At 42.9% G+C, this 20671-nt stretch overlaps 1 protein-coding gene and 1 pseudogene across 4 annotated transcripts in view; both read right to left on the reverse strand.

Annotated features, from left to right (window-relative positions):
- RNU6-203P (RNA, U6 small nuclear 203, pseudogene) lies at window positions 8639–8742 on the reverse strand (annotated as a pseudogene).
- Window positions 12661–20671, reverse strand: part of GPC3 (glypican 3) — a 449850-nt gene continuing 441839 nt past the window's right edge. For all 4 annotated transcript variants that reach the window (NM_001164619.2, NM_001164618.2, NM_004484.4 and 1 more), the window contains one exon: window positions 12661–13209. In NM_001164619.2, the coding sequence (NP_001158091.1) occupies window positions 13040–13209 (170 nt within the window). In that variant the 3' untranslated portion in view covers window positions 12661–13039. The remainder of the gene's footprint in view (window positions 13210–20671) is intronic.

A 20671-nucleotide genomic window follows, 5' to 3' on the forward strand; every position in this document is an offset into this window, starting at 1 on the left:
AACTAAGCTCTGCAGCTTCCGGAGAACTCTTCAAGAGGAAGAATGTGGAAGGCACTTGAAACCAGTCCTGGCTGGCTGCCTTCTCTGAAGTCTACGGTTTCATGTGGACTCACAGGAACATTACGGATGGCACCTCTGAGACACTCAGCAACTGAGGAAGTTGGATTCAGCTGCTGTGACTTGCAATTCAGGACTTAAGGCCAAAAGCCAAATGAGAATCTCAGAAAACTGAGCCCCATGTGCTTGCTGGCTTCCATCTCACCTGGGAATACGAACTTCTGGAAGCATCCAGGCCAGATCGTATGAGAAGGCCTGTGACTCACTGTGCTTCAGAGCACACACCAGCCTGGAAGGTATTTTCTCAAGCAACAGGAGCAAGGCCTGTGGCTCACAGACTAGGTGGGGGAGTCGTGGATCAACACAGCCAAGCCCAGGTGCAAGGAGAAAGGAATCACTGCAAAGCTTCTCTATATAAGCAGCAGGCTCCTACTGGGAGCGGGTGTTGGATGTGGGTACGTGAGCGGGCAGGCTTCCTGCCTCACTGCTGGAGAAAGTCATTCTGTAACTGAAGCTCTTGTCAGGATGAATTGAGTGGACGGGCCTGGCAAGCTCTTGGAGAACATGAAGACCTTTTTCCTTAGGTCTGTGGCCGGCTCATAGCACAGGCTTCAGCTGTTCTAGTCAACTCTTGGGAGGCCTAAGCCTTCCTCATAGTGTGGCTATATAGAACCTGATCTCCTGTTAGACACTCGTTCTGCTCCCAGTGTCCCACTGAGCTGTAACCGATACTCATCTCTAAATCATTGATGGCTTTGCTATGAGCACACTCTTGCAAACCTAGATTCTGCCTAGCAGTTGAGTGGCGACTTCAGTGGGATTTCAGTATCTCCTGGGGATGACCTGTAATGGATGGCCATCCCATGGGGCCTTACCTCCTGCCCTAGCTAAGGGATGAAGCAACAATGACCAATAAGAGAGATGTTGGAAGATATCTGAGATAGACCCTTAAGCCCCAAAATACAAAAGATAGGGGGCTGGAGTCCCATTGCATTGTTAGGCAAAATCAGACCACTGGTGAGGCTTTAAAAATGCCATTTCAAGAGAAATTATTAATAATCAGTAGATGAGGCAAGACAGATTAATAGCAAGTTTCTGGCCTGGGCAAGGTACCTCATACCTGTAATCCCAGCATTCTGGGAGGCCAAAGAGGGTGGATTGCTTGAGGCCAGGAGTTCGAGACCAGCACAGGTAACATAGGGAGATCCCATCTCTACAAAAAAAAAAAAAAAAAAAAAAAATCTGGGTGTGGTAGTGCACGCCTGTAGCCCCAGCTACTCAAGAAGCTGAGGTGGGAGGATTGCTTGAGCCCAGGAGGTTGAGGCTGAGATTGCACCACTGCACTCCAGCTGCGTGACAGAGTGAGACCCTGTCTAAAGAAAAAGGCCAGGCGCGGTGGCTCACACCTGTAATCCCAGCACTTTAGGGGCCAAGGCAGGTGGATCGCTTGGAGGTCAGGAGTTCGAGACCAGCCTGGCCAACATGGGAAACCCTGTCTCTACTAAAAATACAAAAATTAGCCAGTCACAGTGGCTCATGCCTGTAATCCCAGCACTTTGGGAGGCCGAGGTGGGTGGATAATTTGATGCCAGGAGTTTAGACCAGCCTGGCCGACATGGCAAAACCATGTCTCTACTAAAAATACAAAAAAAATTAGCTGGGCATGGTGGCGTGTGCCTGTAATCCCACTACTTGGGAGGCTGAGGCATGAGAATCGCTTGAACCCAGGAGGCAGAGGTTGCTGTGAGCCGAGATCATGCCACTGCACTCCAGCCTGGGCGACAGAGTGAGACCCTGTCTCAAAAAAACAAACAAACAAATACACAAAAACCAAAACAAAACAAAAAAACCCTCCTATTCATTTCTCCATGTGAGCCTCAGAACCAGCCTGGAGCAGGCAGTACAGGACTTAATGTAATTGATAGTGTTCTTAGTGATACCGGGGCTGACCCGATGCTGGAGAGAATGTTGACAAAAACTTCCCCACTTTTCTAGAGTTTTACCAAAACTCACATAGGGCAGCCATGCTGGGGAACCATAGATTTCATATTATCAACTGCTATAGGACTAAATGAGAGTCTGAAATCACAGGAAATGAGACCATCAACATTAGAACTAACCCTTTGATGCAACAGAAAATCCCAAAGTTTAAAAGCGACTTAAAGAACTAAGGAGACGGTAAACTTACCCCTGAGAAGGAGAATTTGTGGCAATCAGTTTGGGATAGATTCTAATTTGTTGGGAGCCCTAAGCTGTGTTTGAAATATTCATGATATTAGGAAGACGACCACTAACTACAGGCTTCTCTGGACTAAAATAATGGTAACGTAGTAAACTTTTTATAATCCAACAGATTTGGCAAACTAAATATACTGTTTTCTTTTTTTTTTTTTTTTCCTTTTGAGACAAGATCTCGCTTTGTTACCCAGGCTAGAGTGCAGTGGCATGAACATAGCTCACTGCAGCCTTGACCTTTGGGGCTCAAGTGATCCTCCCACCTTGGTCTCCCAAAATGCTGGGATTACAGGCATGAGCCACTGTGCCTGGCCTATGCTGTTTTCCTTTTTATATATACATACATTGCTTATTGATTTTCATAGAATTCAAGTATGGTAAAATATGCAGAACAAAAACATACTGGAGGTGGGTGTAGTGGCATGTGCCTGTAGTCCCAGCTACTTAGGAGGCTGAGGTGGGAGATTCACTTAAGCATGGGAGGTTGAGGCTGCAGTGAGCCATGCGCTCCAGCCTGGGTGACAGAGTGAGACCCTGTCTCAAACAAACAAACAAACAAACAAGAACAAAAACAAAACACACACACTGGGAAAGCATCTAATCTTTCTTGGATGATTTAGGACTTTGATTGCTCTAAATAGAAAGTTAAGGAGGAAATTGATTCGGAAGTTTAGACAGCATGTGGCCACTTGAAAACAACTCAGTTTTTGCCGCAGTTCCTAGACAACATTTTTGCCCTGTTGGGTTTTTGCAACTGTAGCCATAAACAAGTTCTAGAAAATTGGGAGAGAATAAGGCTTTCTCGTTGGTAACATGGCAGAAAACAATATGATATCATTCTAAGTGAAATGAGCCCTAGGTTACTAATGAATGCTCCATCAGTAGCAATTGAAGCAGGTCACAGTTGAGGGATACGATTACATTTCACATTTGGCCAGTGCTTAGTGGCCTCATTGCTGTATAAGTGTGAAGGTCTGTGGTCCTGGTTGTCTGAGAGAAAGTGAGTAGTTTCTACTCCATCTGCCAGGGCTTTGGACACTCAAATTGATGTTCCTTCCATAAACATCTTCTGTGGTGTGACCAAGTGTAAGAGGTGGAGCTGAGCACTGTGGGGGATGCCAGGCTAAATGGTCCCATTGACTGCAAGCCTAAGGCAGACACTCTTATTTGGAATTCCCTATCCTCTAGAAGTTTCTCCTGTCACAGTTATGGATGGTGTCTGGAAAGCTCTGAGGACAGGATACACCTCTTCAGATTTTCCAGAAGGGCAAAACATTGTTACTACTGGCAATGTATTGTAATGGTAAAAATAAATGTAATTAGCCATGGTAATTGTGAAACACAAGTCATGCTTCTATTTATTCTGTGATAGTAAACAAATTCAAAACCGGCTGGGCATGGCGGCTCAGGCCTGTAATTTCAGCACTTTGGGAGGCCAAGGCAGGAGGATTGCTTGAGGCCAGGAGTTTGAGACCAGCCTGGGCAACATAATGAGACCCCACCTCTACAAAAAATAAAAAATTAGCCAGGTGTGGTGGCATGTGCCTATAGTTCCAGCTGCTTGGGAGGCTGAGGTGGGAGGATCCCTGAGCCTGGGAAGTCAAAGCTGCAGTGAGTCGTGATCGCACCACTGCACTCCAGCCAGGGCAACACAGTGAGATCCTGTCTCTAAAAAAACAAAAAATTTGCATCAAGATAGCACAGAAAGTGCACTGCAATTAAATCCAAGAAATCCATGCCCTGCTCTCTCCTCATACTTTTTCTTTTGCTATGCCTTTGCTCATTCAGGGTAAAGGAAAATCTACAGGTTCTTGATTGTGGAAACCTGTAAGCAACCAGTCTCTAGGATCCATGCAAAAAGCTCCTTTTCATTTCAAAATAGGCTGCATTTAGTGCCCTGGCTAACACAAAAATGTGGGCAACAAATTCATCCCAAGTACCAAAGATTATTGTGGGACGGGGAGTATTTTCAGAGACAGAACATTTCCTACCTCCTCAATTAGTGAATTCAGTCTATTCTGTGGTCGTGTTCATGAACATTTAGGTGTGGGGGCTGGGTGGGGAGGAGTGGCCTCTCAGCCTTCCCTGAGAGAACAGCACAGAAGGGGTTACCTAATTCCACTGTGGGAGTTTTATCTGCCTCCTGGATGGTTCAGTGTAGGTCTACGTCTAGACTGATTACAAAAGCACCAACAAAACAAAATAAATACCTAACATCTTACAGAAAAGGCATGAAACAAAACAGTATGAGTGGGGAGAACAATGCCTCTGTTGTGACAGGAAGTCTTCGTGAGGATGATGGAATTCCTGCACCCCAGGTTTTAATTTGTAAAAGCAACATTAAACGTCTCAAAGCAGGCCCTGGCTTGAACACATTAATTTTGAAGGCAATGTGTTTGGTTAGATAAGGGATTTTTTTTTTTCACTGCCACTAGGTCAAAATGAAGATCAGTATAACTAACTCCGTCTGCATGGGCACAGATTTCAGAAAACAGCCTTTACTCTCATTCACCAATATAACCATTTGTTAATTCTGCTCCTTCCAAGTGACAAGGTGTGTGCAATGTGATTGAAAAGGCTCTGGTTGGCTCAGTCCTGACTTGCACTCACTGTGCTGTGTGACCTTAAACAAATCTCTTAACCTTTCTGAGCCTCAATTTCTACATATGTAAAATGAGGGGGTTGGGGTTGCTAATGTATCTTTGTGAGGTGAAGACTCTAACAAAGCAAAATAAATGTAACAATCCCATTGCCTAATGGTGCTGACGACCGGACCGGGGACTTTCACCCAAAAAGAAAGCTGTAACATCATATCCAAAGTAGTTTTTAAATATGTCATTCTAAACTGAAGCTGCAGTTGAGTGATGGCTTGCTCTAGAATTCTAAGTCGAATCACCTCTCAAACTCTAAGGTCAGTGTATAACTAGGTGGCAACTATGTCACATAATTGAAGGTACATTTGTTAAGCCAGTAGTTTCAAATGGCCTGAGGCAGAACATTTTGAATGCTTGTTCATTCCCTCAATGTTCATCCCCTCAAATATCTATTGAACACCTACTATGTACCAGGCTCTGCAGACAAGATGTTTCTCCTGGAATCCTATGCCCTCTCCTCCCTTCCCACCCCTGACTTTCCCCTTTCCCTTTCTTTGCTTTTGGTTTTGTTTGTGACCCGTGGTGCAAAGGATTGAGTGAAAGCTACTGCTCAGTTCATGGTAGGCACCATAGTTGGTCCAGATAAGGCCCTTCTCTTGGTTTGTTTCATTCATTCATTTATTCTATTTTATTCCCAAAGCTCACTGCCATTTCCCTCCCTGCAAAGGTACCCATTCTAATGCTGTAAATGTATACCTTTTAGTATGTCTGTATTTTTGTAAAATATGTATTGTCTCCTGTATATATATATATACACACATATATACACATATATATGCATATATACGCATATATATGCGTATATATACATATATACGCATATACACGCGTATATATACATATATACACATATACACATGTATATATATACACATATACACGTGTATATATACATATATACGTGTATATATATACATATATACATATATACGTGTATATATATACATATATATACATATATACATATATACACGTATATACGTATATATATACATATATACATATATACGTGTATATATATACATATATACATATATACACGTATATACGTATATATATACATATATACATATATACGTGTATATATATACATATATACACGTATATACGTGTATATATATACATATATACATATATACACGTATATACGTGTATATATATACGTATATACGTGTATATATACACGTATACATATATACATGTGTATATATATATACATATACTTATATGTATATATATATATACTTGTTTTTTTTTTGAGACAGTCTCAATCTGTTGCCTAGGCTGGAGTGCAGTGGTATGATCCCAGCTCACTACAACCTCCCCCTTCTGGGTTCAAGTGACTCTCCTGCCTCAGCTTCCCAAGTAGCTGGGACTCCAAGTAGCTGGGACTACACCATGCCTGGCTAATTTTTGTAGTTTTAGTAGAGACAGGGTTTCACTATGTTGGCCAGGCTGGTCTCGAATTCCTGACCTCAGGTGATCTACCTGCTTCAGCCTCCCAAAGTGCTGGGATTACAGGTGTGAGCCGCAGTGCCCAGCCTGTGCATATATTTTAATTAATTCAAATGGTGAGATGCTATATAGCCCATGGAGTTTCTTGCCTTTTTTCTTTTTTACCCATACTAGGGTTTTAAGATCCATCCATGCTGCTGGGGGTACATATGGTCTGTTGCTTTTCACTGCTGCATGATACTCCATGGTGTGCATCCTCACGTTGTACCTCTCCTCTCTCCCAGGGAGGTACCTGGTATCCTGCAGTGCTTCACCATGGCAAGTATTCCAACAGTAACCTGCCTTGTGCATGGCCCACTATGGACCTGTGTCATATTGTTCTGCCTAAAGCACTCTTCTCCCTTAGTCTTTGTTTGTTATTTGTTTGTATTTTTGAGATGGAGTCTCGCTCTGTTGCCCAGGCTGGAGTCCAGTGGCGTGATCTTGGCTCACTGCAACCTCCACTTTCTGGGTTCAAGCGATTCTCCTGCCTCAGCCTCCTGAGTAGCTGGGATTACAGGTGTGCACCTCCATGCCCAGCTAATTTTTGTAGTTTTAGTAGAGATGGGGTTTTCACCATGTTTCCCAGGCTGGTCTAGAACTCCTGGCCTCAAGTGATCTTCCTGCCTCAGCCTCCCAAAATGCTGGAATTACAGTCGCGTGCTACTACGCCCGGCTAATGTTTGTATTTTTAGTAGAGACGGGTTTTGCCATGTTGGCCAGGCTGGTCTCAAACTCCTGACCTCAAGTGATCTGCTTGCCTTGTCTTCCCAAAGTGCTGGGATTACAGGCATGAGCCACCATGCCCAGCCCTATGCTTTATTTTTCTATGTTTTTAATGTGAATCTTTCAAACTCAATACATTAATTTCTAAATATATAAAAGTGAATAAAAAGCTATGACCTTATTTGGTTGTTTCCTTGGCAAACCTAGAAGACCTTCTACATCCAAACTAGTACTGTGACTTTCCAAGAGGCCCCCTTAGAAGGGAATCATTGCACCAGGGACAGTGTCCTCAAATTTTCTGGAACTTTTCTTTGGAAAAAAAGAGAAACTTCCATAGTCCATAGCACATTTTTTGGAATCTTCTTGGGGTGAGGGAGGGAAGGGGCTTTGTTTCTTGAAGGCAGATTTGATTTTTGGAAACAGCTAAAAGCTACTTGGCAGCAAGTGTAGTGAATGAGGTGGGTGATCAAACTGAAAAATATTCTTTTTGCTTCCAAACAAGGTGTGACTATAAAGAAATGAGGCTGATTTTCTTGTATGGCACATAAACTAGCTCAACAGCAATTCCAAAAGAGGACTTCCAAAAATGCTGTGGCCTTGGCAAGAAAAAATATTTCTCCACCCCAGTATACACACACACACACACACACACACACACACACACACACACACACACACAGTGTATGGCATCTGGCTCAATCCATAGACAAGGGAAACCAAAAGCCTTTGGAACGTATTTAGAAAACCAATTGTGCAAGTATGGGATGGAAGACACCTGGCTGGGCAGCCATTCTTGAAAAAACCTATCACAGTTGCAGTTAGCCAGAACATGGAATTATCATGCACTAAAGAGTGTGATGTGGCTGCTCAGCAAGTGTCTGAATCCTAGGACTGCTCTGGCAGAGGTCCTGGACTTCTGCGGGAACAGAGACACCCATCGGCCACACTGTTGTTCAGGCTCTCCCTGCCATGGGCTCAGCTATGGGCCTGACAGGACAAGAGGACCACTGGCCCACTGGAGCCCGGCTCACGAAGGAGCTTGTCAGCGCTGTCCAATGTGTTTGGAAAAGCAGACAACCCAGAGGAGGCAAGTGTCAGTGACTGAAAATTATTGCGAAAAGGGAGCTATGTGAAAACTAGTGCCATCTTAGTCTCTTTTTTTTTGTTTGTATAAATTTAAGGGACACAAGTGCAGTTTTGATTCATGGATGTATTGCATAGTGGTGAAGTCTGGGCTTTCAGTGTAACCATCACCCAAATAGTGTACATTGTACCCATTAAGTAATTTCTTACCCCTTACTCCCTCCCATCCTCTCACCTTTCCCAGTCTCCAGTGTTTATTATTCCACTCTCAATGTTCATGTGTACACGTTATTTAGCTCCCACTTATAAGTGAGGACATGCAGTATTTAACTTTCTATCTCTGAGTTGTTTTACTTAAGAGAATAGCCTCTAGTTCCATCAATGTTGCTAAAAATATGGAATGCTTCACAAATTTGCATGTCATTCATGCACAGGGCCCATGCTAATCTCTGTATCATTCCGATTTTAGTATGTGTGCTGCCCAAGTGAGCACGGCTATCTGAATCTCAGGATGCTCTTTATGGCAGAGCCAGAACCATAGGAGGAAATAATAGGAAGGCAGATTTAGGCTCACCCTAATAAAGACTGATTCATATTATAGAATTGTATGCTCATGCACATTCTGCACATGTATCCCAGGACTTAAAGTATAATAAAAAATAAATTAAAAATATATATATTTCTCAATAAAGCATTGGTTGTAAATACTGCAACAGTATGCAACTGCAAAAAAAAAGAATTGTATGTTCAATACAATCTCATGTGTGCGAATATACATATACAGAGAGGGGGTGAAAGACTGGAAAAATATAAATTTTTTTTTTTTTGAGACAGAGTCTCGCTCTGTCGCCCAGGCTGGAGTGCAGTGGCACAATCTTGGCTCACTGCAAGCTCCGCCTCCCAGGTTCACACTATTCTCCTGCCTCAGCCTCCCGAGTAGCTTGGACTACAGGTGCCCGCCACCACACCCGGCTAATTTTTTTTGTATGGAAAAATATAAATATTTAATAGTGGATTTCTATGTGGTATGGAATTATGGGGCAAACATCATTTTCTAAACTTTACATAATTATGTGTTGTTAGATTTTTTATTACCTGTATTTCATTTGTAATAACTCTTTTCCTTTAAGAAATGGATTTGCTAAAAATTCGAGGTATCCAACAACCAAACAGGCTACTTTGTGACCTAGTGAGAGCCCTGCCTTAGGAGGTAATCAAACAAACATTGTGGGATGAACTATCAGGTCCCTTCCAGTCTAGGGACTCAGTATCTGTTATTTTAGGAATTAACCTTACTCAAGTACCAGAGTTGAGTTGGTGGAAGTTCACTCATGCATCCAATGAGGAAGAGGCCTTCCAACACAATGGGGCAACTTCCCAGCTCCCAGGTCTCTTCTAAGAAAAAATAGTCAACATAATTCAAGTGTAGGAAGTTTAAATCAAAGGGTAGAATCAGGCCAGGTGCGGTGGCTCACACCTGTAATCCCAGCTTAAATCCAATAGGATATGGTGGAGTTTCCATGTTTTATACATGTGTATGATTATCCCAGCACCTTGGGAAGCCAAGGCAGGTGGATCACTTGAGGTCAGGAGTTTGAGACCAGCCTGGGTAACATGGTGAAATCCCATCTTTACAAAAAGATAGAAAAATCAGCCAAGCCTAGTGATGTGTGCCTATAGTCCCAGCTACTCGGGAGTCTGAGGCAGGAGAATTGCTGGAACCAAGGAGGTGGAGGCTGCAGTGAGCTGAGATTGTGCCATCATACTCCAGCCTGGGTGACGGAGACTCTGTTTAAAAAAAAAAATAAAATGGTAGAATCAACACGTCAAAGATGAAAAGCCACTAACTAGCCATGAAACTTGATTCTGAACTAGAGCAATAATAAAAAAATACATAGAGAGATAGGAAAAGACAGAGGCAAAAAGCTAAAAGAGGCCATTGATGATACATAGTTGATGCCAGTAGGATATGGTGGATTTTCCATGTTTTAAACATGTGTATGGTTACCCAGTTGTTTAATCCCATCTACATAGCTGAAGCCAGCAGGTCTTGGACGTGACAGGGGAGTTATCTTCTGGTCCTCCTCGCTCAGGCTGGATGGCCCATAGCTGCAGACAGAGTACCAGGACAGCAGAAACACAGGGTGCCTGGGGTCATGTTCTGGAAACTGAAGCAAGTCAAATATGACCTTAGGCTGGAAAAGTTCTGAGAGGCATTGGAGGGACAGCACATTCATGCCACCAGCTGGGCAGAGGGACCGGCATTTACTGCCTTTTGGGTTGAATGGTGCCACAAAATCTGAGTAACAAAGAGGTTAGAAACCTTGTCCTCATTCTCCATTTGACAATAGGGAAACTGAGGTCTAGAGAGAGGAAGTGGATGAGAAGGGTGTGCGAAAACTGACAATCTCTTTTGCCTCCCAGAGAGGAGAAATGGACTTTAAGACAGTCCTCTCCTGCTTGCAGGAGCAAAGCTTGGTCTCTGAGCCACAAATTATTTTTTGCCACATCAAATAACATTTCCATGGAATGTCAGAGACAGTTATTAGATGATAACTGGGCTTTAAATCCTTCTTCTGGGTTGGTGTTACTATATTAGACTCTGAGTCCAAGCAGCAAATCTTTGCAATGTGTAGGTTTCATAAACCAAAGCCCAAAGTTTCTTACAAACCCCATTCAAATGCACAAAGAATGATGGTTTAAAAACAAAGACAACTGGCTTCTTTCTCTTTCAGGTCTTACCCACCATTACAAATCATTGAGATCACATTAACACATACAACTGATTGATTGTAGTCTTAACTTCGATAAAACTAACCAAAGGAAACGCTAAACCAAATATTTCCAATTTGTGTTTGTGAGCATTTCTGCAAAGGATGAAGATGGATATTGGAAAATTGTGCTCTGCAGGGGACAGAAGTATGTTGGTGACAGCAGGAGAAGGAGTGCAATAACTTGTGAGAAATTACACATTCTGCTTCCCACATGGTGACCCCCTGCCATGGGACCGAAATCGGAGATCCTGACTAGGACCACCTCGTAGAATCAAAGGGGACTTCCCCGTCCATTCCTTGACCTTTGCTCACACCCCTTCAGTGCATCTCACCCTCTCTTTCTTATATTTATCAGGTGGAAGTTGAGTCCTCCCCCTTTAGAAAGAATCAATGTCTCTATTGACCTGACCTGGCAACAGGGCAATGTGCTAAGCATTATACACATTACAAAAATGGCAGGGTGGTTATTCCTGGGATCCCTCGGCAGCAGAATGTCTGAGTATCACCTAACATAAGTGCCATTATTATTGCAATGTCGTATGTGTAAAAACAGATTTTTTTTTTTTTTGAGACAGCGTCTCACTCTGTCATCCAGGCTGGAGTGCAATGGCATGATCTCAGCTCACTGCAACCTCTGCCTCCCAGGTTCAAGCGATTCTCCTGCTTCAGCCTCCTGAGTAGCTGGGATTACAGGCACCCGCCACCACACCTGGCTAAATTTTTTGTATTTTTAGTACAGACGGGGTTTTGCCATGTTGGCCAGGCTGGTCTCAAACTCCTGACCTCAAATGATCCACCCGCCTCAGCCTCCCAAAGTGTTGGGCTTACAGGTGTGAGCCACCACACCCTGCAAAAAACAGATTTTGAGTAATAATACTGGGCCTATGGTTGATGATGAAAAGCCAGTGTTGTAATTACTACTGGTGTCAGACCTTCAGTTCCATGAGAGCAGGGCTCAGTTCTGTTTTGTTTTCCACTGTCTCCAGCATCTGGTACAGTACCTGAAACCCAACAGGTATGCAAAATCTACTCGTTGAATAAATGAATGTTGAAGAAGCTCACCTGAGGCCAAGAGTGAGAGTTGCTCCCTATAAATCATGGGTTTGCTGATGACACCTTCTGCAACCTGACCCAAAGCAACGGCTGCCCATGCCATGTGGCAGCCCCTGTGGAGAGAGGCAACAGCAAGCCTGAGACAGCAGCAAAGAAGCTGGGGAGTGATTTCTTTGCACTGTTTGGGCTCACCTGTCTTGATTTGGGAGAAGGGAGAAGATGAATGGTGTAACTGTACCTGATTTACATAGAGGATTCCTATTTGGGCAAAGCATTTTTGGCAAAGTAAAAGTTGTAAAGAGAGACCAGACCAGGTAACTCTTTTGAGATACTTCGGTTTCATAGACAAGATACTCCAACCCAAGGTTTCGAAATGAAGATTGTGGATTGCGAGGGAGTGGCTCTTTCTTATTGGTTCTTGGAGTCAGGATTGATTTCCACCCAGAAGGAAGGCAGGGAGGTGGGTTTCAAGGAACCTGTTGGGGCCTGATAAGAATATGTTGGATAGAAAGTTTAGTGAGAAGGAAAAAAAAAGCATTGCGCAGTCACCATAGACGACGGTTTGCAAAAAAAGGGCCAATACATTTTTATTTGAGCAATTTATTTTTTTTCAAAGAAATCCATGCAAAGAGAGAACGATAGAAAGGGAGGGAGTGAGAGAGAAAGACATGGTAACCATGTTCTAGCAGCCAAACATAGGAGAATAATTTGGCACAACTTGATGGTTTTTTTTCTTTCTTTGCAAAAGGACAATCTATATGCTACCACTAAAATGTATCTTCCTCCAAAAGATACCATTTGATTTTCGAAAACATAACACATGGTTAGTCCTCTACTTCATGGCTGGAGGAGGTATACAGGATAACAAAAAAAAAAAAATAGAAAAAAATAAGAAAGTGGTTCCCTTTATCGAGGAAGACCACAGGGTGCTGTAGGGCAGCACATGTGCTGGGCACCAGGCAGTCAGTGCACCAGGAAGAAGAAGCACACCACCGAGATGGCCATGCTGGTGAGAAGCTTCAGCGGGGAATGAACGTTCCCGAGGTTGTGAAAGGTGCTTATCTCGTTGTCCTTCGGAGTTGCCTGCTGACTGTTTCCAGGCGCATCATCCACATCCAGATCATAGGCCAGTTCTGTCAATCAAAAGAGAAGGATTTGAAATGCAAGTCTACCCATAGCCTCAGTATAACACTATGCACAGCTCGAGCATGTGTCTGGACCACTGGAAAGCCTCAGCTTTGATTCCCTTTTTTATGGGGGAGAAAAAGGCCACTGTGAGATGGGAAAAAGAAGGATATGTGGGGGTGGGGGTGGGGAGAGGGGAGGCAGTGGAAGGAGCCAGCCAGAAGTGCTCCTTCCAGAGATCACAGCAAGCAGGAGTGGGGAGCGAACAGGCTGCACCCCACTCCCCTTTGGCTGCATCCACATTGTAGGGTGCATGCTAGCCCTTTGCAACATCTCCTCCCAGGCAAGGTTTTGCTTGAAGGGCATTTTCACCAGATCTTATGGGTATCAAAACGTAAGATGCCATATAGGTGACTATACCATGTGGTTGTGTTCTTGTGTGTATGTGTGCTGGTGGGGAGGGGGTGCTGTGGGTTCCCAGTGTACGTTTCTTAGGCCCTGCACCTTATATACATTTCCTTGTCCTGGGAGCTTTTCCTTAATTAGGGTTGAGGATAGGTAGTTTGCTGTTGAAAGTTGTTTTATTTTCCCAAATAATTCTCCTTTTATCTATAAGGTCTTTTCATTTCCCCCTAAAAAGAATCCTCGCAAAAAAGCAAAATTGATCAAAGCATAGATTTAAACTGATACCAAGTGAATGGGTGTAAGGAGAGGCTAATGGGCAAGAGCCTTTCATTCTTTGACTGCCTAGCATTTATGATATATGTTCATGATTCTGAAAAGAAATCAGGGTGTTATTTAGCTTGTCCTAAAGCAAAGGTGGCCCCAGAAGGCAAATCTAAGGAAGACAGTGGTTTATCAGGAAATTCAAGATGGCTGACCCTGGCCAAGGGCTCATTATCTTTCAGATTTGCTTTTCCAGATTTAGAGATCAAATCTACTCTCTTGGCTCTTCTAGACTCCGTTGCCAATGTTGCTATTTCAATATCTTGTGAAGGTGATATGATGTGAGCAACTTCACCAGCCAACTGTCTGGTAGCCAAGGGAGCTAGAAAGATCCTTTGGGACACTGAGATGCCCGGCAACAGGCACAGAGGAAATGACTGGGATTCTACAGAGGGAAGGAAGGAAGAGGAAGGAAGAGCTTCTCTTACAGGGGATGAAACACTCAATAAGTCACAGGAAGAAAGCGTGGGGACTCAGCTGGTCCAGTACAGAGCAGGGCCCAGGACCAAGGCTCTGCTAAGGCTAGCACTGGTTAGGGCAGGCAGCAAGGTCAAAGTGATCAAAGCCAGGGAGTCTAATTTCACAGACTAAGATACCAATTTCCAAAAGGTCTATTGCAATCTATATTGCCACCAGCAATGATGAGAGAAACAATTTTACGGCACCTCCATTGAAAAAAGATATTTTTTGCTAATATAAGGCGACATCTCAACGTTTCTTTAATTTGCAGGGATTTGATTACTAGTGCAGACAAACTTTTCCTATGTTTTAGTTTACTAATTATATTTCTCAATGTGTAGTAGTTTATACCTTTTGCCTTTTTATCTAGTGGGTATTGATATTTTTCCTATTCATTTTAATAATATATATTTTGTTGAACTTTTGCCTATATTTTATACAAATATTTTCTCCATTTTGTTATTAACTATAACTATTTTCATGGCTGTAGAAAGAAATAATGTCCTAAGGTTTAAGATATATGAATCTGGTTACATTTTACTCATTTAAAAGCAGAGAGTTTTTCTTCCTGAGTACTCGTAATAATTCAAATCAAATTTTCCAGGAAACTCTCTTACCCAGGGAGAAGCAATTGAGCAGACTACAATCTAGATTCCCTGCCTTCCAAAATAAATACCTACAAACAAAATAAAAAGAGAAAAAGAACAAAGAGCAATGCTCTACTTGGAAATTAGACCTCTTTCTTTGAAAGGTGAACTATGCAGGGTGCACAGAGAAGGCCGAGGTCAGCTGTCAGTCGGCAAGGATAGCACAGGCTTAGGTCATGATCGGGTTTCACCAAAGTGGAGAGCACATATGGCTAGATCTGTTGAAAGCCCAGCCTTGGTTCTCACAGCAACTTCTCAACTTAAATAAAGAGGAGTATTTTTAGGGTTGACCTGAATGCGAGCACTCTCAGCATTGCTTTCAGATTCCTTTTCTGGATAGTGCCCCTTGCCCAACATCAAGATGAAACAATATCTATTAATGTCACTACTCAGCTCCTACACTGTTTCTTTCTTCAAATCATCTGCTAACTTTCAACAGTTTTGTTTACTGTAGTAGTTACGGCAAACCCAGAAGTTTTGTTAAATCCAGTTGTGTCTAATTTTTTTTTTTTTTTGCCAGTAAAGACCTCTTCTGATTTTGTTTGTTTTTTGTTTTGTTTTGTTTTTTTGAGACAGGGTCTTTCTGTGTCGCCCAGGCTGCAGTATAGTGGTGCGATCATGGCTCAATGCAGCCTCGATTTCCAGGGCTCAAGCAATCCTCCCACATTGGCCTCCCAAGTAGCTGGGGCCATGGCAAAACCCCGTCTCCAGAAAAAAAAAATACAAATAATAGTCAGGCATGTGCCACCCTGCCTGGCTATTATTTGTATTTTTTTTTTTTTTTCTAGAGACGGGGTTTTGCCATGTTGCCCAGGCTGGTCTCAAACTCCTGAGCTCAAGCGATCTGACCACCTCGGCCTCCCAAAATTCTGGAATTACAAGTGTGAGCCACTGTGCCTGGCCCTCTTTTGCTATTTCTATCTCTTGGGCCCTGTATTTTTTAATTATAGTAATGACCCCCAACTACTGAGTCCTCACTGTAGGCCAGGCACTGTGTTAAACTATTTCCGTACATTATTTCATTGAATTTAACCATCTCCACGATGTTATAAGGTAGGTATTATAATTCCCATTTTACTGGAGAGGAAGCTCAAGCTCAGGTTAATTATTTTGCCCATATTTACACAGCTGGTATGGGGTAGAAGAGCTATTTGAGTCCAGGTCTGACTCTAAACCTCAAATGAAGCTACACTGCCTCTTGAAAAATTCTATATACCAAATAAACTACAGTAATTAAGTAGTAATGGATTCTTCTTGAAAACAAACTCCATTAGTGAAATACACAGTGCCAAAGAGAACTTCCAAACAGCATGAGAGCAAAGTCACTGTTTGCACATAAAATTGACCACATACTTGATTAAGTAGCCTTGTTAAACTTTTTGAAATCCTGAAAAGAGCTCTGGGTTGGAAATGGGAATTATCATATCAGTTCTATTTCCCTGAAGAAATCAACAATGATGGCCAAAGCCATTAGATACCCCAACCACAAAGGTGGCCAAGTCTTCTACCTCCAAAAGGCCCCCAGGAATATTCAGAACGCTATCTCCCTGTGTTCCATAAGCTATGGCTGCAGGTTTCCTGAGGCTCTTCATTCAGCAGTAGCAAAAGTTTATCAACCAATTCCATAGCCAGGCACCTGTGGCTTATAATTGGTGGGAATCCCAGCAAAGCCACTGTACGCTTGGGCCACCATCATGAAGATTAGAGATAAAGGGAATAGCTTAGCACAATAATGAAGCATTATGGAGACAGAGGAAATAGGATTTTTGGTGAAAGATAAATACAGACATTTCTGGACAGGGGAAATGTAATCCAATTTAATTCAACAAACAAAACTAGCCTATGATGTCTCAAGCATCACAGTTGAGGGTTAGAGAAAGACTTACTGTCTGCCTTCATGAGCCCCCTCACTGGCAAGGGAAATTGATCAAGAGACAATTCAACTAGCTACGTGGCAGAAAGTAGAAAGGGCTCAGTTAAAGGCACAAGCAAAACACCTCGGGGATAGAAGAGAAAGAGATAAAAATTCCAAATAGAAAGATCTGGGAAGACTTCTTAAAACAATTGGGATATCCCACTACTGGGTATCTACCCAAAGGAAAAGAAGTCATTCTATGAAAAAGACACATGAACACGCATGGTTATAGCAGCTCAATTTGCAATTGCAAAAATATGGATCCAGCCTAAGTGCCCATCAACCAACAAGTGGATAAAGAAAATGTGGTATACATACACCATGTAACACTACTCAGCCATAAAAATGAATGAAATAATGTCTTTTGCAGCAACTTGGATGGAGCCGGAGGCCATTATTCTAAGGGAAGTAACTCAGGAATGGAAAACCAAATATCGTATGTTTTCACTTATAAGTGGGAACTAAGCTATGAGGACACAAAGGCATAAGAATGACATAATAGACACTGGGGACTCAGGGGACAGAGTGGGAGTGAGGTGAGGGATAAAAGACTACATATTGGGTACAGTGTATACTGCTTGGACGATAGGTGCACTAAAATCTGAAAATTCACCACTAAAGAACTCATCCATGTAACTAAATAACATCTGTACCCAAAAACTATTGAAATAAAAATAAAAAATAATAAAATTAAGAATAATTGGGACATAATCTACACCATGAAGGATGGACAGAATTATGGCAGGGGCTGAATGAATGGTTATTCCAGGCAGAGGGTACAGCCTGACCAAAATCACCAAGCTCAGAGAATGTCTATGAGGCATATTCAGAAGCAGCAAGTAGCCTCCATGGTAGGAGGAGCCACAGAATGGACATTGTTGTGGTGTGTGTGTGTGTGTGTGTGTGTGTGTGTGTGTGTGTGTGCGCGCACTGTGGGGGAAGAGGTGGTGGGAGATGAAAGGTAAGGCGGAGGGACAAGTAAGAGCCAAATCATGGTGGATTAGGAAAGTAAAACTATTCTGTGAGCAACAGGGAGCCACTGAAGGTTTTGAAGTAAACAAACAACACAATCTGATTTGTGTTTTTTAGAAAGATGATTGTTAACACTGTGGAAGACAGCTCTAAGAGGGAGAGACTTGTCAGACATCTTGTGTTGAAATAAACAAGAAGCCTGTGGGAATAGTATCTGGGGAATCAGCCAGTAGCAAAGTTAAAAAAACAAAAACAAAAAAAAAACCCTACAAAGTGGCTAAATCTACATCAAACCAGAAACTTCTCAGTTTGCTACAAACCAGATGTATTATGAGAATCACCACAAACCATTCTCTTTTCAATCATTCATATCTTTATGTTTATCAGTGATTTTCCAGAATGTATTTTTGCTGTATTAGGTACATATTATAAAATGCACATAAATTGTTTCTATCTTGATCATCAGTGAGAACCTTTTGGGCCAGCAAGGAGATTTTCATGCTAAATCCAAAAATCTGTTTCTATTTGTAATCAGTTTAACTATGCCCAAAGGGTAGACTCAACATCTGTACTAATTACACATTCAGCCCCTGACTCTCATTTCGCCTTCATGTCCTTTGTGTTGTAGACTAGATAATTCTTTTTTAAAATAATTGTCAGTCATTAAGGTCTGCATTTTTTTGTGTGTTGAAAAGTTTTTCTGTATTGAGAAAAGCAATAAATAGAGAGCCCTCCATCTTTGGTTATTCAGCGTCTCCTAGCAGAGTCCCTAGGAGGCTGGTCTTAAATTCCTGGCCTCAAGTGATCCTGTGCATCCTGGCAGTCTGGAGCCCTGGGTTCCAAGCCTAGTTTAGCTACTGACTTATTATCTCACCTTAGACAAGTCATTTCCTTCTTTTCTGGGCCTCAGTTGCCCCATCTGGTAAATCAAAGTGTTGAACTGGATGACCTCTAAGTTTCCTTCTAGTTTTATTTCTCTCTGATTCCAAGGCTCTTGCAGCCCACTGAGGGACATAGCCTGCTGCAGGCTGTAATCAGTCTTCCACTTACAGCAGCCAAGGTGGCTGTCCCTGACAGGGCCTCCATAAGCAAGTCAGGTCAATCAGTTGCTTCCCTTGGGATGTTTCTCTGGTGATATTCATCAGCTACCAAATTCTGAATTCTCTTTTTTTCTTGAGCTGTTTTTTAATCTTGGATGAGAGATCCTGGCTATAAACACATCCATGCTGGATTGTTTCTGTTTTGCTTTTAAACTCTGGCATAACAACTTCCATTGGAGGCAGTACACACAGAGCTTTGGGGGAGAAGTTGCTGGACCTGGGGTGCATCAAGCAGGCATGGATAGGCATGCACAGGGGGATCTGGGAGCCAGGAAGACAAGCCTTTGGGCCCTTACAAAGCTAATGGAGTCTTGAGCACATAATAGGAAGCAAATGCTCACCCTCTGAGGGTGTGGGCTTCAAGGAGGATGATGCATTGCTATGAGGGCTTCACCCATACCAACAGGAAGACTTCACAGGGCAGACTGAAAGAAGTGCTGCTATCAAAATGCCAGGAGAGAAAACGCTACTGCTGAGCCAAGCATGGGGGTTTCTTACTTGCCAAGCTTGCATCAGCAGATGGCTTCAATCTGGCCCTAATATAGCAACAGAGCAATACTGCTATCTCTGTGTTTTGCATTTGCTGTGTACAGTTGGCCTCCAAGACATGCATACGTGAAACCTCAGGACATTGCTTGGCAACCCCCAGAGGCTGAAGCTGGGGGAAATCTCTGGAGAAATCACATTCATTGCAATACTGCTCACTCTGCTGGCTGTTCCCACAGGAGCCACTGGGCTCTGCCATTCGCTCTTGAATCCAAAACAGACCCTGGTTTCCTTGTTCTCCCTTCAGCACAACCCTCTTTCCTGCCACCTCAATACCTCCTCTTTTGTCAACTTTTAGATGTGAAATGACTAGACTTTAAAGCAGAAGAAAATGACTTTTCAAATGACCCTTGGGTCTCTGGGAGTCTAGATTTTCTTCTTCATAGATCAGATGAGGAGGACAAGAAATACTTGAGACCTCTGGTTTTTAACTGGTCTAATGGGACTTCTTTTGGGAATGGGCTCATTTAACAATCTGCCTTTTTTTTTAGACAGTCTCGCCGTGTCACCCAGGCTGGAGTGCAGTGGCGTGATCTTGGCTCACTGCAACCTCCACCTCCAGAGTTCAAGTGATTCTTGTGCCTCAGCCTCCTGAGTAGCTGGGATTACAAATACATACCACCACTCCTGGATTATTTTTGTATATTTCATAGAGACAGGGTTTCACCATGCTGTCCAGGCTGGTCTCGAACTCCTGAGCTCAAGCGATCTGCCCGCCTTGGCCTCCCAAAGTGCGTGGATTACAGGTGTGAGCCACCACACCTGGCCCACAATCTGCCTTTCTGACAAACAAATGAATTGCTAATTTTGCCCACTAAATGACAGTAACACCTGGGAATAATCCAATGGCCTCTCCTAGAAGAGGGTTTGGGCAATGAGATGTCCTCTTCATTTCTTATGGCTCATTCCAGCTTGCAAACATCTTTAGTTACAACAATAGGATGTTGAAAGAATATAATGAATTTTTCCCATTAGCTGAGGCATGGCCTCTCTTATTGTAGGCCTCTGTTTCTCAATCTGGAGTATGTGTATCTTCAGATTACACTGCAGTGGGTTGTAGGTACATGAAGCCATCACATGCTTCTTCCTAGGGAATTGGGGGAAA

Source organism: Homo sapiens, chromosome X (genome assembly GCF_000001405.40).
Source record: "Homo sapiens chromosome X, GRCh38.p14 Primary Assembly".
Lineage (NCBI taxonomy): Eukaryota > Metazoa > Chordata > Mammalia > Primates > Hominidae > Homo > Homo sapiens.